Source organism: Homo sapiens, chromosome 1, assembly GCF_000001405.40.
Source record: "Homo sapiens chromosome 1, GRCh38.p14 Primary Assembly".
In the NCBI taxonomy this organism is placed as follows: Eukaryota; Metazoa; Chordata; class Mammalia; order Primates; family Hominidae; genus Homo; species Homo sapiens.
This window is the reverse complement of record NC_000001.11, coordinates 1,098,041-1,122,719: the sequence shown is the minus strand read 5'-3', so window position 1 is coordinate 1,122,719 and position 24,679 is coordinate 1,098,041. Positions and strand designations below refer to the sequence as shown.

At 53.3% G+C, this 24,679-nt stretch overlaps 1 protein-coding gene across 3 annotated transcripts in view, besides 6 other annotated features; it reads left to right on the top strand.

Moving 5' to 3' along the window:
• Positions 372–711: a silencer, noted in NCBI's record as "silent region_35". NCBI's record gives its function as "represses an Ori minimal core promoter by ATAC-STARR-seq in GM12878 lymphoblastoid cells {active_cell/tissue: GM12878}" and the evidence as "EXISTENCE:reporter gene assay evidence [ECO:0000049][PMID:35858748]".
• Positions 5,961–6,010: a silencer, noted in NCBI's record as "silent region_34". NCBI's record gives its function as "represses an Ori minimal core promoter by ATAC-STARR-seq in GM12878 lymphoblastoid cells {active_cell/tissue: GM12878}" and the evidence as "EXISTENCE:reporter gene assay evidence [ECO:0000049][PMID:35858748]".
• Positions 6,051–6,170: a silencer, noted in NCBI's record as "silent region_33". NCBI's record gives its function as "represses an Ori minimal core promoter by ATAC-STARR-seq in GM12878 lymphoblastoid cells {active_cell/tissue: GM12878}" and the evidence as "EXISTENCE:reporter gene assay evidence [ECO:0000049][PMID:35858748]".
• Positions 6,341–6,940: a silencer, noted in NCBI's record as "silent region_32". NCBI's record gives its function as "represses an Ori minimal core promoter by ATAC-STARR-seq in GM12878 lymphoblastoid cells {active_cell/tissue: GM12878}" and the evidence as "EXISTENCE:reporter gene assay evidence [ECO:0000049][PMID:35858748]".
• The window catches only part of C1orf159 (chromosome 1 open reading frame 159), a 34,267-nt gene continuing 16,218 nt past the window's right edge, over positions 6,631–24,679 (top strand). For 2 of the 3 annotated variants that reach the window (NM_001363525.2, NM_001330306.2), the window contains exons 1-2: positions 6,631–6,660; positions 7,645–7,698. The gene's annotated coding sequence lies outside the window, so the exon portion shown is untranslated. The remainder of the gene's footprint in view (positions 6,661–7,644; positions 7,699–24,679) is intronic. The other variant, NM_017891.5, reaches the window with a different exon arrangement.
• Positions 9,917–10,211: an enhancer, noted in NCBI's record as "tiled region #13538; HepG2 Activating non-DNase unmatched - State 18:Pol2; and K562 Activating DNase matched - State 14:Gen5'". NCBI's record gives its function as "activates a minimal TATA promoter and a strong SV40 promoter by Sharpr-MPRA in HepG2 and K562 cells {active_cell/tissue: HepG2 | K562}" and the evidence as "EXISTENCE:reporter gene assay evidence [ECO:0000049][PMID:27701403]".
• Positions 10,430–10,931: an enhancer, noted in NCBI's record as "H3K4me1 hESC enhancer chr1:1047169-1047670 (GRCh37/hg19 assembly coordinates)". NCBI's record gives its function as "activates a minimal SCP1, AML or CMV promoter by ChIP-STARR-seq in naive H9 embryonic stem cells {active_cell/tissue: H9 hESC(naive)}" and the evidence as "EXISTENCE:reporter gene assay evidence [ECO:0000049][PMID:30033119]".

Here is a 24,679-nt window from a genome sequence, read left to right as displayed (position 1 = left end):
CAGGCCCCACCTCCCCACGGGCGAGGGGCACCCCTTGATTCAGGAGGTAGAATGTGGCAACAGAGAGAGGTGCCATGGGCACGGGAAGACGCCCCCACCTCGCTGAGTCGCCAGCAGGTAGGAAGGGGGGCCCCTGAGGCACGGGGGCCGTCGGGGGATGTGAGGATGGCTGTGGTCTGAGCTTCGAGGTGCCGTAGCTTCACTTCCGAGGGAGCCGGCCTCACAGGCCGAGGCCAGGGGGCCTTCTGCCACCCACCCAGCCCGGCGGGGCTGCCTCCCATCAGCTCCGAAGATCCCCCAGGTCCTGAGAACCCCTGCTCAGGGTCTCCTGAGGAAGGTCCCGGCCACACTGCCTGACTTCCCGGGCAGGAGTCGGAGCGGCTGGGTCGGCAACGCCAAGTGCAGTGCCCAGGTCCGGGCCCGGCACCCGTGAGGGAGAGACGCCACCTGCAGGCGGGCTCAGGGACCTGGCACTGGGGAGACGAGGGTCCGCGGATGCCCCAGCCTGTGCTCCCAGGGCCCCACGACCCAACCCGAGAGTCTCTGCCTGGGTGCCAGGCCCACTGAGGCCACAGGGGAGGGCGGAGGGTGGGGTCCCGGGGAAGCCATGGCGGGACAGAGGCCCCCCAGCCTCCTGCCCAGCCAGGCAGCCGAGCTCCAAAGGCAGCTGCAACCATCGTCATCTCAGCCCTGGCAAGGTTGAGGCTGTCCCACAGCCGCCGGAGGCTCTTTAGCCAGCACAGGACAGTTTCTAGGGAAGAGACGCCCCCCACACAGAGGGTTCCTGAAGCTCTGAGGAGGGAGCACCCACAGCCCAGCCCGCTGGTCCCCACGTCTCCTGGTCGTCCATCGGCCGAGAGCCCAGTGGGCATCAGGGCCAGTGGCTCAGCCTGGGAGGCTCCAGGACCTCAGGGCTGGCACCCCTCTGCCCAGAGCAAGGAAGGCCCCACCCCACCCACAGAACAGGCGCCACGTGAGGCTGGCCTCACCCCTGGGCCTGCTGCGGCTGCTGTAGGGGCAGGAGTCCCAGATGGGGTGGGGTGGGGGAGGGGGGGCAATCCCAGGGGGCAATGGGGGGAGGGGCAGCGTGGGCACCGGGAGGGGCTGGGGGTCGCCACAGCCCTGTTCAGCGCAGAACACAGGGCCTGCCTCCGCAGAGCAGGAGGCTTCAGCCTCGTTGCAGGGCAGCAGCCTGGCTGGGGAGGAGGTGGGGCCATGAACAGCACTTGCCTCCTTTAATTAGGGGATTAACTGCGTGCTGATAATTGAGCCTCCCCCAGCACCTGCCTGTTTGGAAGAGCTAACACCTCCACCTGCTCCTCCCTTAGGCAAGGAGGCCTCTGGGCCCTGCATGTCGGTGTGGGGGGGTGGACAAGGTGTCCAGGCTCAGCACTGCCGGGGGTAAAGGGCACCCAGCTGCAGTTCTGAGCCTCCCTCGTCCACGCACGTCCTGGTGTAGCTATGTGGGGACTGAGCCCCTTCCCCGTGAGCTGAAGAGCACCCCCCATCAGGGAGGCACGGCCTGGCCTGCTGGGAAGAGCAGCCCTTCTGGGAATGGCCTGCGGATAATTGGAGTCCCAGTGCAGTAGGAAGCCAGCGAGCCTTGGCACGCCAGCCCCAGGGACCGCATAGAGGTGACGCAACAGAAACCGAACCCCACCAAGGCCCCCAAAACCGAGCCCCACCGAGGCCCCCAAAACCGAGCCTCACTGAGGTCCCCAGGAGCCCTCAGGAGGAGCTGCTGTTTGGCACGGCTGGGAGCTCCGCCTCAGTTTCCCTCTTTCCGAAGTCATCTCTTAGGCTTTTTGTTTGTTTTTGAGACGGAGTCTCGCTCTGTTGCCAGGCTGGAGTGAAGTGGCGCGATCTCGGCTCACTGCAAGCTCTGCCTCCCGGGTTCAAGTGATTCTCCTGCCTCAGCCTCCCAAGTAGCTGGGATTACAGGCGCATGCCAGCATGTCCAGCTAATTTTTGTATTTTTAGTAGAGACGGGGTTTCACCATGTTGGTCAGGCTGGTCTTGAACTCCTGACCTTGGGTGATCCGCCCGCCTTGGCCTCCCAAAGTGCTGGGATTACAGGCTTGGGCCACCAAGCCCGGCATCTTCTAGGGGTTTTGAACTATTTGTCCAAATAGCCATGTCCTAGAATAAAGGACAAAGTCAAAGGCCCAGAGACCATTAAGCCCAGTCAGGGCCGAGGAGCTCAGGGATCCCCCACCACAGCTTCCCCCAGCGGAGCTCAGGGACCCCCACCCCCCACCCCTGCTTCCCCCAGCGGAACGGCAGGAACAGGAAGGCAGTGTCATAACCAGGAGGCATCCAGGCCCATGTGAGTGGTCCAACCTCCCGCACCCCTGGGGTGCCCGCCCCACCCCTGCTCACCACTGTGATCTGTGATCCAGCTTCACCGTTTTGCCCTTTAAGAGCTGTAGAACCAGGCACGGTGGGAGGGGGGCAGGTCGCATGAGCCTGGGAGTTCCAGACCAGCCGGGTCGACACAGCAAGTCTCCGTCTCTGCTTAAAAACATTTTTAAGAGGGAATGGTAGACCGTGGAACCACCGAGCACGCGCCCTTTTGAGGCAGGATTTTCTCGCCAGCCAAGGCCCTTGGAGTTGTTCAGGTCCCCCCAGATGGACGCTGCCTCCTTTGTTGTTGTTGGTTTTTTTTTTTTTTTCGTTTTTTGGGTTTTTTTTTTTTGGAGATGGAGTCTCGCTCTGTGGCCCAGGGGCGCGATCTCGGTTCACTGAGACCTCTGTCTCCTGGGTTCAAGTGATTCTCATGCCTCAGCCTCCTGAGTAGCTGGAATTACAGGCGTGTGTCACCACACCTGGCTAATTTTTTTTTATTTTTAATGGAGACGTGGTTTCACCATGTTGGCCAGGCCTGTCTCAAACTCCTGACTTCAAGTGATCCGCCCGCCTTGGCCTCTCAAGAGTGCTGGGATTCCAGGCGTGAGCCACCGCGCCCAGCCGGATCCTGGCCTCTTCATGGTGCCCGCTCCTCAGGGTGTCTGCACGGGGTGGGCTCACCACCCACCTGGGGGGGAGTGTTGTTTCGAGTTTGGAGCTATTAAAATGAAGCTGCCGGCGAGTGTGTGAAGTTTTTATTTCTCTGAGATGAATGCCCCAGAATGCCACTGCTGCCTTCCACGGCACCTGCATGTTCCAATTTTTAAGGAACTGCCAAGGGCTCTCCAGGGGGCCGCACCATTCCGCAACCCCCGCAGTGCATGAGGGACCAGCTGTGGCTGTTTAAATCCTGGCCATCTGGACAGGCGGTGGCATCTCCTTCTGCTCTTAATTCACAGCCCACCAGCAAACATTTTACACTGTATTTACAAATGCGTATGTTCTAACTCGTTTGCAAACACTTTGAATTAACAAAATCTTCCCCACTAAATCACTGATATACCTCCAGACTCGTTAAACATATAGTTTGTTCCTAAAATCTCTTAAGTTTTCCAAGACCCTACATAAATGCAGTAAGATTCCACTTACACTACAGAGCCTAAATAATTTCCTCATTTGAAAGATGATTCAGTGGCAAAGCCGACCCTCTCTCAGGACAAGTTCTCTTGAGCATTATGAATGCCGGGCTGGGCACGGCAGCTCACACCTGTGGCCCCAGGTGCTGTGGGAGGCCAAGGCAGGAGGATCCTTGAGCCCGGGCGGTCGAGGCTGCAGTGAGCTACGATGGCACCACCGCACTCCTGCCTGGGCGACAGAGCGAGTCCTCATCTCAACAAAACATCCCGCCCCTACAAAACCCCATGCATTACAAACATAAGATGGTTCTATTTTAATACAAAAAATATTAGTGCACAGCTTTTTAGTTCCCCAACCTTCCCATACTGCACCTGAAGTCTCTGGGGAGGAAAGTGCTCCCTTTCGGGGACACAAACAGCCCGGTTGGCAGAGGTGGGGTCCCTGGTGTGATCTGTGGGCACCTGCGACTTACGATGCTCCCCTGTGGCTTTCAGACCTAGCATCCCTGCTATAACCTGAGGATGGGATTCAGCCCGTGTGGCCCTTAGGGGAGTAAATGTCGTTTCTGTTTTAGTCTAGAGATTGTCCTTCAACTTGATGCGACCCTACGGTGTCCTTATGTTTCCACCTGGCCTAGTGGAATCCTGCACCCTTTCGTGTTCTCGGGAATGTGCACCCCGTGCGGTTACTCAGGAGGGAGCCTCCAGGGACATCTCGCATGGCCTCGTCTCCCTTCCCCAGGGAGAGGACGAGCTATCCACTGCCCGCCTGACAGACGAGGGAGTGCCCAGTGCCCAGGCAGCTGCTGTCAGGTTGGCCCACGCCGGCAGGGGCTCTGCTCCCAGAGATCAGGTGGGTGCTGGTCTCAGAGCACAGTTCAGCAGGTGCTGGGTGGGCCCTGTTGGGGCCTGCAGCCCGGGCCCGAGGCACACACACATGCACTGCACGGCTTCCCGCAGCTCCAGGACTTTGCCTTCTTCCCTCTGACAGGGGCCAACGTGTAGAGAGGTGCAGACCACCATGAGTGACGGAACAAGGGGCGGGGACACTTGTGGACCAAGCTCCAGCATAAGGACACGGTCACCCAGGGCCACAGCCCCAGGCCAAGCCGAGGGGTAGGGACTTGACACTGACACAGGCAGCTTCCGCAGCTGTGAAACCACCCGGGAAACGCTGGTCTTCAGGAAATAGTCAAGAAAGTGGACGCCAGGCATGGTGGCTCACGCCTGTAGTCTCAGCACTTTGGGAGGGCCAGGCGGGAGGACTGCTTGAGCCCAGGAGTTTGAGACCAGCCTGGGCAAAACAGACCCCCGTCTCTACAAAAAAATAAAGAAATATGTGTCAAGGCATGGTGGCACACACCCGTGGTCCCAGCTACTCTGGAGGCTGAGGTGGAGGATCGCTTGAGCCTAGGAGGTCCAGGCTGCAGTGAGCCACGATCATGCCACTGCATCCAGCCTGGGTGACAGCGTGAAATCCTCTCAAACACAAAAAAACAAAAAGGAAGTGGAAACACTGGCTCAGCTCCACAATGAGTTGCCGCAGACGGCAAGAGCCTGTGGCACAGACTGGACTCCGAGAAGGGGACCGCGACTGTGTCCTCCCCGTGGTCCTCAAACGTCGCCCAGGCCAGGTTCCTCTTAATGGGACCGACACAGAAGCTGCACGTCCGCGGGCGCATGGCCGGAAACCCTGCAGCTGTCAGCGAACCCCTGGTGCTGGGCGCCCACGCCCAGGTGTCCCACGGCCAGACACTGGTGGCATCAACTCCTCCAGAGGCCCTGAGGGAACCCTGGGATGGACCCTCAGGCGAACACTGTCCCTCTAAAGAGAAGACACAAATGTGACTTCCCCAGCTGTCCCCAATACTGTTTACAAAACATCCTCACGCTGTTAAGATGGGGGCTTTATTTCCATTGAAATCTCTGGCATTTAAACTTGGGATGGAACCCGGAGGCGGCGTCCATCAAGGAGGAACAACCCCAAGGCGCATGCAGGACGGGCCTGGGAGCTCCCGGGAGCAAGGGAGCTGGGGGGTCTGGGGGCCTGGGAGGTTGGGGGGTCTGGGGGGTTGGGGGGTCTGAGGGGTTGGGGGTATATGGGGGGTTGGGGGATCTGGGGGTTTTGGGGGGTCTGAGGGGTTGGAAGGGTCTGCGGAGGTTGGGGGGGGCCGCGACACCTGCAGCGCCCCCCCACCCTGCGCGCTGGCCCAGCTAGGAGAGGGCCCGGGGACACCGACAGGATTGAAGCCTTTGATGAGCGGACGGACGTCCCCAGTTCCTTCGGGGAGCTCCTTTAAACATGTTTGCCGAAAGCTGCGGGCGCCGCGGGACGCACAGAGCTGTCTTTTCTCCGAGGGTGGCTCAGAGGCAGAGCCCCGGAAAAACCCACGCGCCCGGCCTGTGGGGCAGCGACGCCGCCCAGACCCCGGGGCCGCCGAGACTCACGGGGGAGCGTCCTGAGACCGCAGAGCCCTGACCCGTCCGAGAGGCGAAGCCCCGGGAGCCCTCTGGGTCCGAGCCGTCCCAGTCCCGCACCCAAGGCAGGGTCTCTCCCGCCGCGCTCCGACACCGGCCGCCGAGGTCCCAGCACTGGCGCCGGCCGCGGACCTGGGGCGCATTTGGCGGCGGCTCGCGAGGCGCTCGGGGCGCTCCGTGGGTCTGGAGGGCGCTGGCCCCGCGCGCCCGCGGCCAAACCTGGTGCAGCCGCGCCGCCTTCTCCGATGAAGCCGAAGCCGCCCCGGCCGCCCCCAAACGCTCCGCCTCCGCCTCCGCCTAAACCGGCGGAACGCTAAGGACGCCGACGCTTGTGCGGTCGCCCGGGAGACCCCGACGACGCCCCGCCCCGTCTCCCGGCAACGCCAAGCAGCCGGCGCGCGAGGAATCCGGGGGAATGTAGTCCCTCCGTGTCAGGGACCCGAGACATGCGCTGGTTCTTCTAGGACTACATTTCCCAGGGCGCTTCGCGCCCCGCCCCGGCGCCCCACCCACGGCCGCGCGCGATGGTACCACCAGGCGAGGGCGGCTCTCGCGCGGGCCGCCGGGAGTTGTAGTTTTCTTTGGGAGCTGCGGGGCCTGGCGCCGGGGCCGGGGCGGAAGAAAGACTACAAGTCCCAGGGGGCGCGGCGCCACCGCCTGAGGGCGGGGTGTACGAAAGAGAAACCCGGAGGGCGCCGGGGTGAGTGAGGGGCTGGGGGCAGGCGTGAGGGTAGCGGGTTGGGGCGCTGGGGTCCGTCTGGGCGGCCGGGTCGGCGCAGGGAGTGCGAGAGGCAGACAAAGGTCGGCGGCCCTGGCCCGGCCCGAGGGACGTTCCCTGCGCGTCCCCCATTGTGCGGCGCGCGGAGGAGCCGCCAGCGCCTGGGCCCGCGTCCTCGTCGCCGCCTCCCAACGAGCCTGGCCGCGGTCCTATGGGGGAAAGGCGCCCGGGCTGAGCGGGACGCCTGGGGAGGGGAAGGGGCGTCTGAGGAGGGCAGGGGGACCCCGGGGAGGGGTGGGGAGGGGGTCCCTAAGGAGGGGAGGGGGTTCCCGGAGCGGGGAGGGGGGGTCCCTGGGGAGGGGAAAGGTTCCCGGGGCAGGGAAGGGGGTCCCTGGGGAGGGGAGGGGGTCCCTGGGGAGGGAGGGGGGTCCCTGGGGAGGGGAAGGGTTCCCGGGGCAGGGAAGGGGGTCCCTGGGGAGGGGAGGGGGTCTCTGGGGGAGAGGGGGCACCTGGGGAGGGGAGGGGGTTCTCGGGGCAGGGAGGGGGTCCCTGGGGAGGGGATGGGACGGGCGCCCGGGGGAAGAAAGGGGGCGCGTTCGCCTCGCCTTCCCGGCAGCCGGGAGTGGGGGCACCGGCGCGGTCCCCGGTGTCCTAGAAGTCGGCCACGATTCAGGTCTTTTTCCCGCGAGGCTTTAGGATTTGTTTTTGTCCGTTTGTCACCTGGAGTAGCCGAGGGCTAGTCGGGGTGCAGTTTTTCGGGAGCGCGTGTTCCGGTGGCAGCGAGTCGATGATTGAGTTTGGGTGTAATTTAAGCCCAGGTGTTCGGGGGCATTTCTTACCGCGTTTCAAAGCAAACGCGGCTTCTTCCCCGGGAACTATTTTGTGGCTGAATTCTTAGCCGCCTCGTCCTGTTAAATTTCAGGATGTCAAACTTGGCCTCCTTTTTTTGGTTTTCATTTTTCTTAGTATTACCAGGGTGTGCAGAGAAGGCAGAGCTGCGTCTTCCTCTTTTATTTTTCCGTAAGTTACTGGGGTACAGGTGGTGTTTGGTTACTTGGTTACATGGGTAAGCTCTTTAGTGGTGATTTGTGAGATTTTGGTGCTCCCATCACCCGAGCAGTACGCACTGCACCCTATTTGTAGCTTTTTATCCTTGTCCCCCTCCCACCCTTCCCTCCGAGTCCCCAAAGTCCAGTGTATCGTTCTTAGGCGTCTTCCTGTTTCCTGATGGCTTAACCTGGGAAACCCTCGCAGAGGGAGCCGGTTTTGAGCCCCAGGGTAGGGGCGGCCGCCTGGGATGTTCAGTGATGCGCCTGATTACTCAGGTTTATGTTCCCCGTTTGCATTCAGCCAGGATCCGTCATGGCCACGTTGTTTTTAACATACATGTTTATGAATTATACAGAAACGTTGTTTTCCTGACACACATCCCGCCCCCAGTACTCCTCCTAAAAGCCAGTCAGGCAGGTGTTTCCACACGCAGTCACCTCAGCCCTGGGGTGCACAGGCAGCATCCCGGGAACCCCTGAGATACCTCCCAGCTGCTCCCTGCCTTGCGGCTGCTCTCCACCTGAGCTTTGACTTACTGGGTAGCTCATTTAAAGAACAGCTAGCGCTGTGGGTGCTGGGGTGGGAGATCGCTTGAGACCAGTCTGGGCAACATAGGGAGACCTCGTCTCTATAAAAAATAAAAAATATTATCCAGGCATGGGGGCAAGCACCTGTGGCCCGTTACAGTAGGTAGCTAGTCAGACATGAGCAGGGCAGAAGAGGGGCCCCCCTCTACCAGGGACATTTGGCTGGTAAGAGAAGGCGGCCCTGGCTGTGCGCGGTGGCTCACACCTGTAATCCCAGCACTTTGCAAGGCCGTGGGGGGAGGGGGGCGGATCAGAAGGCCAGGAGTTTGAGATCAGCCTGGCGAATATGGTGAAACCCCGTCTCTGATAAAAATACAAAAATTAGCCGGGCATGGTGGCGGGCGCCTGTGGTCCCAGCTACTCAGGAGGCTGAGGCAGGAGAATCGCTTGAACTCGGGAGGCGGAGGTTGCAGTGAGCCGAGATTGCGCCACTGCACTGCAGCCTGGGTGACAGAGCGAGACTCCATCTCAAAAAAAAAAAAAAAAAAAAAGGCCTCGAGGGAGCGTGCGCACAACTCCAGTAAACTCTGTGCATGCTCCCTCCCAAGTGCCCGCAGCCGCTGTGCGGGTGGACGGCCCACCCCGAGGGAAGAATCGGGAGACGTAACACCCCGGAAGCCTCCAGCGTGGAAGACCCTAAGTCAAAGGTCAAACTGCGCACTTGATCTCTCAGGTCTCCTGCCTGGCCTTCTTCCAAGGGCGCTTTACTTCCTTTCATTCCTGCTCTAAAGCTTCTTCATAAACTGTTGCTCCTGCTCTAAGGTCTCTTCTGCCTCCTACCCGTCCATCAAACTCTTCTGAGGAGGGAAAAATTGAGGTTCACTGCTGCTAACATGCTTTGGTGTCAGAAGTGGGACATATTCTGCCACTAACAGTCCCAGCTACTCGAGGGACTGAGGCAGGAGGATCGCTTCAGCCCCGGAGGTGGAGACTGCAGTGAGCCGAGATCGCAACGATGCACTCCAGCCTGTTTCACAAAGAAAAGAAAGAGCCACCTCTTCTCACCACTCTGGCTGAGGGTTGCGTGTGCCGAGGTGGAGTGTGGAGCTCAGGTGAGCCTTCAGAGCTCTATTACTGGCAGAATGTATCTGAGTTTCAGCACCAAAGTATGTCAGCAGCGGCCTCGATTCTCGCTGCCTCAGAAGAAAGAATTTGATGGAAGGACATGAGGCTGAAGGAGAGACTGAGGCAAGTTTTTTTTTTTTTTTTGAGATGGAGTCTGTCTCTGTCGCCCAGGCTGGAGTGCAGTGGCACAATCTCGGCTCACTGCAAGCTCTGCCTCCCGGGTTCATGTCATTCTCCTGCCTCAGCCTCCCGAGTAGCTGGGACTACAGGTGCCTGCCACCACAACCGGCTAATTTTTTGTATTTTAGTAGAGAAGGGGTTTCTGCATTTTGGTCAGGCTGGTCTCGAACTCCCAACCTCAGATGATCCACCCACCTCAGCCTCCCAAAGTGCTGGGATCACAGGCGTGAGCCACCGCACCCCACCGACTAAGGCAAGTTTTAGAGCAGGAGTGAAAGTTGTTGAAGAAGCTTTAGAGCAGGAAGGAAAGGAAGTACCCTTGGAGGAGGGCCAGACGGGCGATGTGAGAGATCAGGTGTGCGGTTTCACCTTTTGACTTGGGGTTTTATAGCCTGGCAGGCTTCTGGGGTCTTGCACCCCTTCTCCCCTGATCCTTCTTCAGGGTGGGCTGTCCACCCATGCAGCATCTTGCTAGTACTTGGGCGGGAGCATGCGCCATGTGTTCCCTGGAGGGAGGGAGCATGCCCGGTGTGTTCACTGGAGGGAGGGAGCATGCCCCGTGTATTCACTGGGGGGAGGGAGCATGCGCTGTGTGTTCACTGGAGGGAGGGAGCGTGCGCGTTGTGTTCACTGGAGGGAGGGAGCATGTGCCGTGTGTTCACTGGAGGGAGGTAGCATGTGCCGTGTGTTCACTGGAAGGAGGGAGCATGCGCTGTGTGTTCACTGGAGGGAGGGAGCGTGTGCGTTGTGTTCACTGGAGGGAGGGACCGTGCGCCGTGTGTTCACTGGAGTAGTGCCCATGCTCACCTGAGGCGTTCTTCCGTTACCTGTCAAACGTCCCTAGAAGGTCATAGAACGGTTACACGCCGCCATTTTGCCTCTCAGTGCACACGCTTGAGCCAACTCGCCCAGTTCCTGAGATCGTATCGGGAAGCTGCCCATCACCGGATTTCATGTGTTTTCTAGCTATTGGGAGCCTGTCTTTCCCTGGCGCTGGGTGCAACCAGTTCTTTTAGACAGTTAACAGCCACCTGACCATCACCTGATGGTGGCCTGACATTCCCGGTGGGGGGATGGGCCCGATCCTGCCCTGCTCACGTCTGCTGAGCCACCTACGGCAACCGCCCGACTCCGGTGTGCTGAGCCCACGGGTAGGTGGGCAGCGACTACCATGCATGTCAACAAAGGGGGATGTCTCCTTTACACCCCATCAAGGGGTTTGCGGTATTTGTTTTCTATCAAAGCACGAGAGGGATCTTTAGGTAGAGAGGCCCCAGACAGTTCTTATTGGGCCCTTAAAGCTACGTTTCACGTTGGCTTCCTTTGCTTGCTACGAAGATGACCAGCATTAGCTACACGGATGCAGTGGAAGCTCCAGCCAGCCCTCGGGGCTGTGTTTACCGAGGTTCAGCAGCGTGAGAAACCCGCCAGTGGACCCTCCCGCCTCCCCTTTTCAGTTACTGCTGCCTGGGCGGCTGGAGTTACGGTGAGCGTGGGTGTGGTCTACCCACTGCCCCAGCCGGTGGTTGCTTTTACAGGGTTGTTTTGCAAGATGTTACTTATTTAAAATCACAGTGACCTGAGGCATCATTTTTTTCTTGAAACCAGTTCTTTGTTGTTGTTGTTGAGACGGGGTCTGGCTCTGTCGCCCAGGTAGAGTGCAGTGGTGCGATCATGGCTCACTGTAGCCTTGACCTCCCAGGCTCAAGAGATTCTTTCACTTCAGCCTCCCAAATAGCTGGGACCACAAGTATACGTCACCAAGCCCAGCTATTTTTTTTTTTTTTTTTTTTTGGTAGAGATGAGATCTCACTCTGTTGTCCGGGCTGGTTTTGAACTCCTGGGCTCAAGCGATCCTCCCACCTTGGCCTCCCAAAATGATGGGATTGCAGGCCTGAGCCTCCACACCTGCCCTGAAACCAGTTCTTCTAAGGGAAAATAAGAGTGGTCAAAGAGTGTATAGCACAATTTAAATTCTCACTAAATTTTTCATTGCCTTGTAGAAATTTTCATCCCATTATTTAGCTTTTTGGCTCCAATGAGATTTTCAAAATAGAAAATGCATGTGTTTAGTTACTAAGGCATAATTTACATGCAGTGAAACACACAGAGCTTGTGTCCAGTTCAATTGTTTTGACAAAGGATTCACCAGACTCCTGTCGTGATGTAGAATCTGCCTGTGATCCATGGAGATTGCCTCGCAGGCTGCTCCAGCGCCCGCCTGCCGCGCCAGACAGGAGCGCTGCTGTGATTTTACCGACACTCTGAGTGTTAGGAGTCACACGTGCGGGCGGTTTTGCGTCTGCCACGGCTCACGCAGAGAACTGTTGTTGAGCTTCCTCTGAGGTGCTGCACAAGGAGTGGGTGTGGGATGCGCTGTTGCGTGCTCGTCGTCTCTGAGGGCGCCCGGGTGGGTTTCCGCTGTCTGAAGAGTTGGGCCTATTTTTGTGCACGTGTTTGGCGGGCGTGTGTTGTTTCTCTTGGGAACGTGCCCGGGGGGAAGGCTGCATCCCAGGTGTGGAAGTCCCAGCGGTTCTGTGTGTCCCCACAGCCGAGAGGCTGAGTGCCGTTTGGTCGTGGAGGCTTTAGTTTGCATTTCCCTGACGCTCACCCGTGTTGAGCACTGTCCACTCATCTGTTGCCATTCGCACACGTTTTCTGAGTGTCCGAGGATGTCTTTTGCCCATTTTTTTGATGACCAGATTGTGAAAGTCCTTTATATATTCCATATTCAGGGCTTTTGTCTGGTACGTGTACTGTGACTATCTCCCATTCTTTGATTTGCCTATTAATTTTATTACTGATGTTGTAAACTAAGAATAAAATCCTAAGTCCCCCGCCGACTGAACGAGCTCCCTCTTGGTCAAGGGGACCCCAGAGAAACCTTAAAAATTGAGTTTCCGGCCATAAAAGGATGGGAGGTTGGACACACCTGGTTATACTGCCACCCTTTTTCAGTTTAGACACAACTGACCAACATTAGTGTTAAAGTGGAGATCACGAGACTGACAGACTCTGCGGCAATAAGACGCCGAGTTATAATCAGGACCTAAGGCCGTGCCAGGCCGGGGTTAAGTCACACACCCTTACAGTTAAAGAATAAGGCTTGGGTTTTCTTTTCCTCTAGCAGTTAAGCAGGCACTGGCCTGAGACAAGCGGTATGGAAACAGTGATGGCTCGCTGCCAGGCACTAACTGACCCCCCATTTCACGGCCATAACTACAGCGTCACTTTCCATAACTTCCTCCTGATAAGACACCACTGGCCACGGACTGGTTCTGCTGGTCTATGGAGGATGTGACTGGAGTGACTCCCGGGCCGCGCCTCACCTTTGGCCATATAGGGCCTAATTGTCTTACATGTAAATGTGAAATCTCACCTCTCAGTGAACATGGGTCCTGCGTTACATGCATGTTTATCTAGTACACATGCATTAAGACAGGAGAGAGGAGCGCTTGAGCCCAGGAGTTCAAGACCAGCCTGCGAAACACAGCAAGACACCCTTTTTACCAAAAAATAAAAATAAAATTAGCCAGATATGGTGGCAGGCATGTAGTCCTAGCTACTTGGGAGGCTGAGGCGGGAGAGTTGCTTGAGCCCAGGAGTTCAAGATGGCGGTGAGCTATGATTGCACCACTGCACTCCAGCCTGGGCAACAGAGCAAACCCATCTCTAAAAGAAAGAAAGAAATTTTAAAAAGGAGGAAAGGAAAGAAAGGAGAAAAGAGGAAAGGAAAAAGGAAAGGAAACTGTTCCCATTAAACACTAACTCCCCATTCCTCCCTGCCCCCCAGCCCCTGGCAACCACCGTTGTCTTTTCTGTCTCTATGAATTCGACAACCCTGGGAACCTCATGAGTAGAATCATACAGTATTTGTCCTGTTGTGATGAGCTGCTTTCACTTAGCATAGTGTTTTCAAGGTTCATTCCTGTTGTAGCATGCGTCCAAAATTTCTTTTCAGGACTGTAGAATATTCCACGGTCTGTATAGACCACCTTTTGTTTATCCATTCATCTGTGGGTGGACACTTGCTCCCACCTTTTGGCTGTGGTGAACAATGCTGCTGCAGACATGGTGGCTGTGGTGAACGGTGCCGAGACATGGTGGCTGTGGTGAACGGTGCTGCCGAGACATGGTGGCTGTGGTGGACGGTGCTGCTGAGACATGGTGGCCGTGGTGGATGGTGCTGAGACATGGTGGCTGTGGTGAACGGTGCTGCCGAGACATGGTGGCTGTGGTGGACGGTGCTGCCGAGACATGGTGGCTGTGGTGGACGGTGCTGCTGAGACATGGTGGCCGTGGTGGATGGTGCCGAGACATGGTGGCTGTGGTGAACAATGCTGCTGCAGACATGGTGGCTGTGGTGAACGGTGCCGAGACATGGTGGCTGTGGTGAACGGTGCTGCCGAGACATGGTGGCTGTGGTGGACGGTGCTGCTGAGACATGGTGGCCGTGGTGGATGGTGCTGAGACATGGTGGCTGTGGTGAACGGTGCTGCCGAGACATGGTGGCTGTGGTGGACGGTGCTGCTGAGACATGGTGGCTGTGGTGAACGGTGCCGAGACATGGTGGCTGTGGTGGACGGTGCCGAGACATGGTGGCTGTGGTGAATGGTGCCGAGACATGGTGGCTGTGGTGGACGGTGCTGCCGAGACATGGTGGCTGTGGTGGACGGTGCTGCTGAGACATGGTGGCTGTGGTGAACGGTGTCGAGACATGGTGGCTGTGGTGGACGGTGCTGCTGAGACATGGTGGCTGTGGTGAACGGTGCCGAGACATGGTGGCTGTGGTGAACAGTGCCAAGACATGGTGGCTGTGGTGGACGGTGCTGCTGAGACATGGTGGCTGTGGTGAACGGTGCCGAGACATGGTGGCTGTGGTGGACGGTGCTGCTGAGACATGGTGGCTGTGGTGAACGGTGCTGCTGAGACATGGTGGCTGTGGTGAACGGTGCTGCTGAGACATGGTGGCTGTGGTGAACGGTGCTGAGACATGGTGGCTGTGGTGGACGGTGCTGCTGAGACATGGTGGCTGTGGTGAACAGTGCTGAGACATGGGGCTGTGGTGAATGGTGCTGCCGAGACATGGTGGCTGTGGTGAATGGTGCTGCTAATGTGTCTAGAATTGGTGGATTCTTGGTCTCACTGACTTCAAGAATGAAGCCGCAGACCCTCGCAGTGAGTGTTACAGTTCTTAAAGATGGTGTGTCCGGAGTTTGTTCCTTCTGATGTTCAGATGTGTTTGGAGTTTCTTCCTTCTGGTGGGTTCGTGGTCTCACTGGCTTCAGGAGTGAAGCTGCAGACCTTTGCAGTGAGTGTTACAGCTCATAAAGGCAGTGCAGACCCAAAGAGTGAGCAGCAGCAAGATTTATTGCAAAGAGCGAAAGAACAAAGCTTCCATAGTGTGGAAGGGGACCCGAGTGGGTTGCTGCTGCTGGCTCCGGCAGCCTGCTTTTATTCCCTTATCTGACCCCACCCACATCCTGTTGATTGGCCCATTTTACAGACAGCTGATTGGTCCATTTTATAGAGAGCTGATTGGTCTGTTTTGACAGGGTGCTGATTAGTGCGTTTACGATCCCTGAGCTAGACACAGAATGATATTTACAGTCCTCTAGCTAGACGTAAAAGTTCTCCAAGTCCCCACTAGATTAACTAGACACAGAGCAGCGATTGGTGCATTTACAAACCTTGAGCTAGACACAAGGTGCTGATTGGTGCGTTTACAAACCTTGAGCTAGACACAGAGTGCTGATTGGTGTATTTACAATCCTGTAGCTAGACATAAAGGTTCTCCAAGTCCCCACCGGATTAGCTAGATACAGAGAGTGCTGATTGGTGCATCCACAAACCCTGAGCTAGACACGGAGTGCTGATTGGTGCATTTACAATCCTCCAGCTAGACATAAAAGTTCTCCAAGTCCTCACCCGACTCAGGAGCCCAGCTGGCTTTGCCTAATGGACCCAGCGCCTGGCCGCAGGCAGAGCTGCCCACCAGTCCAGTGCCGTGCGCTACACTCCTCAGCCCTTGGGTGGTTGATGGGATCGGGTGCCGCGGAGCAGGGGGTGGTGCCCGTTGGGGAGGCTCGGGCTGTGTGGGAGCCCACGGGCGGGGGTGCGGGGGGCCTCGGGCATGGCAGGCTGCCGAGCCCTGCCCCGCGTGGAGGCAGCTGAGGCCCGGCAAGAATTCGAACCTGGTGCAGGGGGGCTGGCAGTGCTGGGGGACCCTCCACAGCTGCTGGCCCAGGTGCTAAACCCCTCACTGCCCAGGGCCGGGGGTGCCGGCAGGTGCTCTGAGTGCGGGGCCCGCCGAGCCTGCACCCACCCAGAACTCACGCTGCATGCAGCCCCGGTTCCCGCCTGCAGCTCTCCCTCCACACCTCCCTGCAAGCAGAGGGAGCCGGCTCCGGCCTCGGCCAGCCCAGAGAGGGGCTCCCACAGTGCAGCGGTGGGCTGGAGGGCTCCTCAAGTGTGGCCAGCGTGGATGCTGAGGCCCAGGAGGTGCTGAGAGTGAGTGAGGGCTGCTAGCATGTTGTCACCTTTCACTAAGACATGGTGGTTGTGGTGAACAATGCTGCTAAGATATGGTTGTACAAATGTCTCTTGGAGTCCTGGTTTTCAGTTCTTCAGGGTGTAGAACCACAAGTAAAGTTGCGGGGTCATAGAGTAATTCTGTGTTTAATTTTGTGTGTGTGTTTAGTTTTTTGAGAAACTGACATACTGTTTTTCACACCATTTTATATTCTCAGCAGCATGCACAAGGGTTCCATTCTCTCCACATGCGTTTGCCAACATTTATTTCTGTTTTTTTGGTAATAGCCATTCTAATGGGTGTGGAGTATTTCATTTTGATTTTGATTTGCATTTCCCTAATAGTGACATTAATCGATAGTTTTTAATTGAAGTATTTAATTTAACCATTTGTATTTAATGTAGGTGTTAGAGTGTTTGGGTTGGAGTCTACCATCTTTATGTTCGATTTCTGTTTTTCCACCTGCTTTTCCCTGCTCCTCCTTTGCTTCCTTTTTTGTAGGTAGAGGGATCAAGTTGTCTTCAATTTTATCTCCTCTGCTGACTTTTTAGTTCTGCCTCTTTGTGTTGTTTTTTAAGTGGTTCCTCTGGAGATTAAATGTACTTCACAGAACCTCAGCGAGCGGACTCCAGTTATATTCCGTGCTCTTGTCGGCACGCATTTCACTTCTAGGTATGCTAGAAAATTCTACAACACACTTATTACTATTTTATTTATTTATCTATCTATTTATTTATTTATTTGTTTGTTTTTGAGACAGAGTCTCGCTCTGTAGCCCAGGCTGGAGTGCAGTGGTGCTATCTCGGCTCACCGCAAGCTCCACCTTCCCAGGTTCATGCTATTCTCCTGCCTCAGCCTCCCGAGTAGCTGGGACTACAGGCGCCCGCCCAGCTAATTTTTTTGTGTTTTAAGTAGAGACAGGGTTTCACCATGTTAGCCAGGATGGTCTCACTCTCCTGACCTCGTGATCCACCCACCTCGGCCTCCCAAAGTGCTAGGATTACAGGTGTGAGCCACCATGCGTGGTCCACACTTATTATTTTTACTTTAGTTAATAGTCTAATATTTAAGGGTATATTGTTTTTTAAATCCAATGCCTTTACTTTTTATTTATTTTTTTTTGAGATGGGGTCTTACTCTGTCATCCAGGCTAGGGTGTGGTGGCGCGATCTCGGCTCACTGCAGCCTCAACCTCCTGGACTCAAGCGATCCTCCCACCTCCCTCCCAAGTAGCTGGGATCACAGGCATGTGCCATCACGCCTGGCTGATTTCTGTAAGGGGTTTCGGTGTATTGCCCAGGCCGGTCTTAAAACTCCTGCCCTCAAGCGATCCTCCAGCCTCAGCCTTCCAAAGTGCTGGGATTACAGGTGTGAGCCACTGCTCCTGGCCTTTACTTCTTAAATTGAAAATTTCTATAAACTTTTACGGTAGTTGGCCAGACATACTGAACATATTTGTTGAGTGTTGCAGTTGAAAACCATCAGACTCCAGTTTATTCTGGAGCCAGAGGGCCTGGCCTGGGCCTAACCCTGCCGCCTACTCACAGTGTGGTCTTATGCAAGTCTTTTCCTCATATTTAAAGTGGGGCGATAAGGGGCATTGTTGAAATTAGTGAAATCAGTTTGTGTGTATAAATCCCTTCGCGTGGTGTCTGGCATGTGGCAAGTGCTCTGGAAGTGTTGATTGCTGCTGTTGTTGGACAGTGAACAGGTTTACATCCCTTGGAGACCCAGGATCTGTAGCACAAAAAGACTTATCCTTTCAGCCCATGTTCTCCAAGTTCCCTGCTGCCAAAGCTTTTTTTTTTTCCTTTGAGACAGGGCCTCGCTCTGTTGCCCAGGCTGGAGTGCAGGTGCGTTCCCGGCTCGACCAGCTTGAATGCGTCTGCACTTCGGCTTCGAACTCCTGGGCTCAAGCAGTCCTCTTGCATCAGCCTCCCAGGTAGCTGATATTCTAGGTGTGAGCCACCATGTCCAGACCATGCAGGCTTGTTACTGCCCAGAGTTGAGCACCTGGGAAGCAACACCAGCGCCCACCGTCTAGAAACTAAAATCGCCTTGGTTTCTGGACACAGAAAGCCGTATGATGGGGTTCTACTTCAGTGGGAAAGAGTAAACTTCTAACAGAGTGACCCTGCCATAGCACAACTATAACCATGGACAGAGTATGAAAAACAGCTCCCTGAGGGCTCTGGAGAGTGGCAGATTTTGGAGGGAAGTTTTGACTTGGAGGAAGCAACCAGCACAGTTTCCTGTTTTTGCATCTTTGCCCTGAGGGCAGCCACAGTCCCCACATGATAGTGTGGGGTGACTAACGCACTGATAGAAAGTCCACTGTCTGGGCCGGGTGCAGTGGCTCACGCCTGTGATCCCAGCACTTTGGGAGGCAGAGGCAGGTGGATCACGAGGTCAGGAGTTTGAGACCAGCCTGGCCAACATGCTGAAACCCCGTCTCTACTAAAAATACAAAAAATTAGCCAGGTGTGGTGGCAGGTGCCTGTAATCCCAGCTACTCGTGAGGCCGAGGCAGGAGAATCGCGTGAGCCTGGGAGGCAGAGGCTTCAGCGAGCTGAGATTGCGCCACTGCACTCCAGCCTGGGTGACAGAGCGAGACTCTGTCTCAGAAAAAAAAAAGTAAAAATTCTACTATCTGGCAGGGCAGCTCACTCCTGTAATCCCAGGATTTTGGGAGGCTGAGACGGAGAATTGCTTGAGGCCAGGCATTTGAGACCAGCCTGGACAACACAGTCTCTACAAAAGAAAAGGACGTTACCTGGGTGTAATGGTGTGCACCTGAGGTCCCAACTATTCAGGAGGCCGGGGTGAGAGGATCGCTGCCACTGCATTTCTGCCTGGGCGACAGAGGGAGAATGTGTCTCCAGAAAACAAACAAGCAAAAAAGAAAGTACGCTATCTTCCTTGTTCCAGGAGCAGGCAGGGGAAGGAGCTAGGCACCCATAGCTCCTCGAAAAAGAGAGTAGAAGCCCCAGAAAGAGCCAGAGGGGAGGAGTCCTGTGTATAGATGCCGCTCGTTTCTGGCAGACCCCTGACCCCTGCGTGCACCCTGTGCCATGCAGTGACCTGAGCCACCGCTCACCGCAGGTGTGACAGCGTTTGCAGTTTGAATCTAATGAAATTAATTGCCTGCTAAGTAGAAACATTGATTCTCTTCAGAGGAATATCACAGAATTCCAGTGTCTTCACAATGTAACGTTTGCAATGTACAGGGTACAGTTCAAAATCACTCAACATATGAAGAGCCAGGAAAATGTGAGCCATTCTCGAAGGGAAAGACAACAGATATCAATTGTGTTATGACCTAGCTGTTGGAATAGTCAAAAAAGCACTTTGGAGCAGGTTTAGTGTCTGTGCTCAGTGAAGAAAAGGGAAATGCACGCATAATGAACAAAGTGCCGGAAATCTCAGCGAGGAAACATGTTTAAATGAGCCAAATGGGAATTTTAGGTCAAACAAACACAAGATCTGGCTGGGCGTGGTGGCTCACGCCTGTAATCCCAGCACTTTGGGAGGCTGAGGTAGGTGGATCACCTGCGGTCAGGAGTTCAAGACAAGCCTGACCAACATGGTGAAACCCCGTCTCTACTAAAAATACAAACAGCAACAACAAAAATTTAGCAGGGCTTGGTGGTGGTCGCCTGTAATCCCAGCTACTCGGGAGGCTGAGGCAAAGAATCACTTGAGCCCAGGAGGCAGAGGCTGCAGTGAGCCCAGATCATGCCACTGCACTCCAGCCTGGGGCTGGGGGACAAGAGTGAAACTCTTGTCTCAAAAAAAAACAAGATCTGAAATTTTATTTTATTTATTTATTTTTGAGACAGTTCTACTCTGTCACCCAGGCTGGAGTTCAGTGGCACGATCTCGTCTCACTGCAACTTCTGCCTCCCAGGTTCAAGTGATTCTCCTGCCTCAGCCTCCTGAGTAGCTGGGACTACAGGTGCCCACCACTACGCCTGGCAATTTTTTTTTTTTTTTTTTTTTTTTTTTTTTTTTTTAGTAGAGACAGGGTTTCGCTATGTTGGCCAGGCTTGTCTTGAACTGACCTCAGGTGATCCACCTACCTCAGCCTCTCAAGGTGCTGGGATTACAGGCGTGAGCCACTGTGCTTGGCCAAGATCTGAAATTTTAAAATTCACTGAATGAACATAACAGAAGGGAAATAACAGAGAAAATAGGCAGAGTCCTCAAAGACAGAGGAATAGAAATCATCCAAGCTGGAAAAAAAAAAAAGGGTGGAAGTGATTGGAGGAAAATAAAACAAAACCATGAACAGAGCCTCTGGGACCTGTAGGTGATATCTAAGCCTCAGGGACCTTAGGTGATATCAACATGTCTAACACATGGGTAATTACAGAGGTCCAGGAGAGGAGAGGCACAGTGGACAGAAGTACTTGAAGAAACAGTAACCAGAAACTTTCAAATTTGGTGAAAGACATAAATGTTTAGTTTTAAGAATCCCAAACAGGATAAATGAGAATAAAACCACACCTGGACCCATCACTTCAAAAGTTTGTTTTTTTTTTTTTTTTTTTTTTTTTGAGACAGAGTTTTGCTGTTGTCGCCCAGGCTGGAGTGCAGTGGTGCGATCTCGGCTCACTGCAACCTCTACCTCCCAGTTCAAGCGATTCTCCTGCCTCAGCCTCCCATGTAGCTGGGACTATATGCCCGTGCCACCATGCCCGATTAATTTTTGTATTTTTAGTAGATACGGGGTTTCTCCATGTTGGCCAGGCTAGTCTCGAACTCCTGACCTCAGGGGATCTGCCTGCCTCAGCTTCCTAAAGTGCTGGGATTACAGGTGTAAGCCACCACACCCAGCCCTAAAACTATTAAAAACTAAAGATTAACTTTAAAAATCTTGAAAGCAGCCAGAGAAAAACAACAGATCACACACAGCACAGCACTGTGAAGACTGAGCTGATAAACCATGAGCCAATAGACCGTGAGCCGACAGACTGTGAGCTGATTGATAGACCATGAGCCGACGGACCCTGAGCCAATAGACTGAGCTGATTGATAGATGTGAGCCAATGGACCCTGAGCCGATAGACCATGAGCTGACAGACCCTGAGCTGATAGACCATGAGCTGATAGACTGAGTCTGTGAGATTTAAAAAAAAATTTTTTTTTATACAGTCTTGCTCTGTTACCAAGGCTGGAGTGCAGTGGTACAGTCTCAGCTTACTGCAACCTCTGCCTCCTGGGTTCAAGCGATTCTTGTGTCTCAGCCTCCCAAGTAGCTGGGACTACAAGCGTGTGCTACCATGCTGAGCTAATTTTTGTATTTTTAGTAGAGATGGGGTTTTGCTATGTTGGCCAGGGTGGCATCAAACTCCTGGCCTCAAGTGACCCACCCACTTGGCCTCCCAAAGTGCTGGGATTACAGGCGTGAGCTGCCACGCCCGACCAAGTTTGTGAGTAATTATGGAGACCAGAAGAAAGTGGAACTGCTGAAAGAAAAAAAAAGCATAGAATTCTGTATTCTCTAAGAATAAACATTACATGAAAATATTTTCAGAAAAAGGAAAACTGATAAAATTTGTCACCATCAAATTGTGCTACCGGAAATGCTGAAGATAGTATATACTACAGTGAAACTCAGATCTTTAAGAATGAATGATGAACATCAAAATTAGTAAATATCTGGGGAAAAATTAAAACATCTCTTGGGTTTATAATGTATGCAGATATGACAGCCACAACGTGAAGAGTAGTAGAGGGGATCCGTGGACTGTACAGTTGCAAGGTGTCTACATGTCTACATTTTGCATAAAGTGGTATAATGCTAGTTCTAAGTAGACTAGAAAAAGCAAGGTTGAAATTGCAATTCCTAGAGCAACAACTATGAGAATAATGGAAAGAAGCACAACTAAAGGGCCAAAAGATAACTTGGAAAGGAATTTTTAAAACTTCAAATCACGCAAAAGAGGGCCAGAAAGAGAATAGAGGAACAAAAAACACAGGGACAATCAGAAAACAAATAATAAACGGTAAAAACGGTAGACCTGAAATCCAACGATAGTGTCATTATACACTTGCCAAAGCTCAGCACCAAGAACGTGCAGCACCAAGAGTGCGCCCTCGTGTCAACCATGGACTTTGAGTGGTGGTGATGTGTCACTGTCGGTGTGTCAGCTGCAACAAGTGGGATGCTGAGGGTAAGGCTGTGCCTGGGTGGGCACAGCGGGGAGGCACAACTCCTTGTACTTAACTGCTCAATTTTGCTATGAACCTAAAATCACTGAAAAATAAAGGGCAGCGTGTGTATACAAAGGGACAATCAGAAAACGATTAACATACCTACATCTACCCATAACAGTAATTATATTAAATATTAACATACCTACATCTACCCATAATGATAATTATATTAAATATTAATGAATTAAACCCTCCAGTTAAAAGGCAGAGATTGCTAAAATGGACAAATTAGCAAGATTTACTACATGCTGTCTACAAAAGATGCACTGTGGTGTGTGTGTCTGTCTGTCCGTCTATGTATTTGTTTTTTAAGAGATGGGGTCTTGCCTTTTTGCCCAAGGTAAAGTCTAGTACTGCTCAAACTCCTGGGCTCAAGTGATCCTCCTGCCTCAGTCTCCAGAATAGCTGGGATTAGGGGCATGTGCCATCACACTGAACTAAAAGATGCACTTTAAATATAAAAAACACAAGTAGGCAGAAAGTGACTGCAAAAACCATACATATATAGACAACCCACAATCATAGTTGGAGATTTTAACCTCTCTCTCTCCAATTCTTAGAACAATAGACCAAAAACATCAATAGACAACCCAGAATCATAGTAGGAGATTTTAACCTCTCTCTCCGATTCTTAGAACAATAGACCAAAAACAGCAATAGACAATCCACAATCATAGTCGGAGATTTTAACCTCTCTCTCTCTCCAATTCTTAGAACAATAGACCAAAAACATCAGCAGACAATCCACAATCATAGTCAGAGATTTTAACCTCTCTCTCTCCAATTCTTAGAACAATAGACCAAAAACATCAATAGACAACCCACAATCATAGTCGGAGATTTTAACCTCTCTCTCTCCATTTCTTAGAACAATAGACCAAAAACATCAATAGACAATACACAATCATAGTCGGAGATTTTAACCTCTCTCTCTGCAATTCTTAGAACAATCGACCAAAAACATCAATAGACAACGCACAATCATAGTCGGAGATTTTAACCTCTCTCTCTCCAATTCTTAGAATAGACCAAAAACATCAATAGACAATCCACAATCATAGTCAGAGATTGTAACCTCTCTGTCTCCAATTCTTAGAACAATAGACCAAAAACATCAATAAGACAACCCACAATCATAGTCGGAGATTTTAACCTCTCTCTCTCTCTGATTCTTAGAACAATAGACCAAAAACATCAATAGACAACCCACAATCATAGTTGGAGATTTTAATCTCTCTCCGATTCTTAGAATAATAGACCAAAAACATCAATAGACAATCCACAATCATCGTCAGAGATTTTAACCTCTCTCTCTCCGATTCTTAGAATAGACCAAAAACATCAATAGACAACCCACAATCATAGTCGGAGATTTTAACCTCTCTGTCTCCGATTCTTGGAACAATAAACCAAACACATCAGTGAAGACATGGGGGATCTGAGTAACAGTATCATCATGTTGACCTGAATGGTATTTATAGGAAGTTACACATATCAGGCTGCACATGGGGGCTCAAGCTTGTAATCCAGGCACTTTGGGAGCCCGAGTCGGGTGGATCACCTGAGGTCAGAAGTTCAGGACCGACCTAGCCAACATGGCGAAACCCCATCTATACTAAAAATACAAAAATTCGCTGGACGTGGTGGCGGGCAGCTGTAATCCCAGCTCCTCGGGAGGCTGAGGCAGGAGAATGGTGTGAACCCAAAAGACGGAGTGACCCGAGATCGTGCCACTGCACCCCAGCCTGGGCAAGAAGAGCAAAACTCTTCTCAAAAACAAAAAGAAAAAGTTACGCCAATACTCCTAAGTGCACATGATACATTTTCCAACACAGACCAACTGCTGTGTCCTAAAACAAGTTCCAACGAATTTTAAAAGAATCATACAAAGTATGCTTTCTGAGCACAGAGGAATTAAATTAGAAATCAACCACAAATAAAATAGGAAAAACTCAAATGTTTGGAAATTAACCCACTATTGAATAAACCATGGGTCAAAGAAGAACTCAAATGGGAAATTAGAAAATATTTCCAGGCTGGGGCCAGGCGCAGTGGCTCACACATGTAATCCCTGCACTTTGGGAGGTCGAGGTGGGTGGATCAGAAGGACAGGAGTTCAAGACTATCCTGGCCAGCATGGTGAAACCCCATCTCTACTAAAAGTTTAAAAAATTAGCTGGGCGTGGTGGTGCACACCTGTAATCCCAGCTACTCGGGCGGCTGGGGCAGAGAATTGCTTAAAAACCCTAGAGGTGGAGCTGGCAGTGAGCCAAGATCGCACCACTGCACTCCAGCCTGGGTGACAGAGCGAGACTGTTTCAAAAAAAAAAAATTTGTAACTCAGGTGGGGAAAAAATAACAGAAGAAG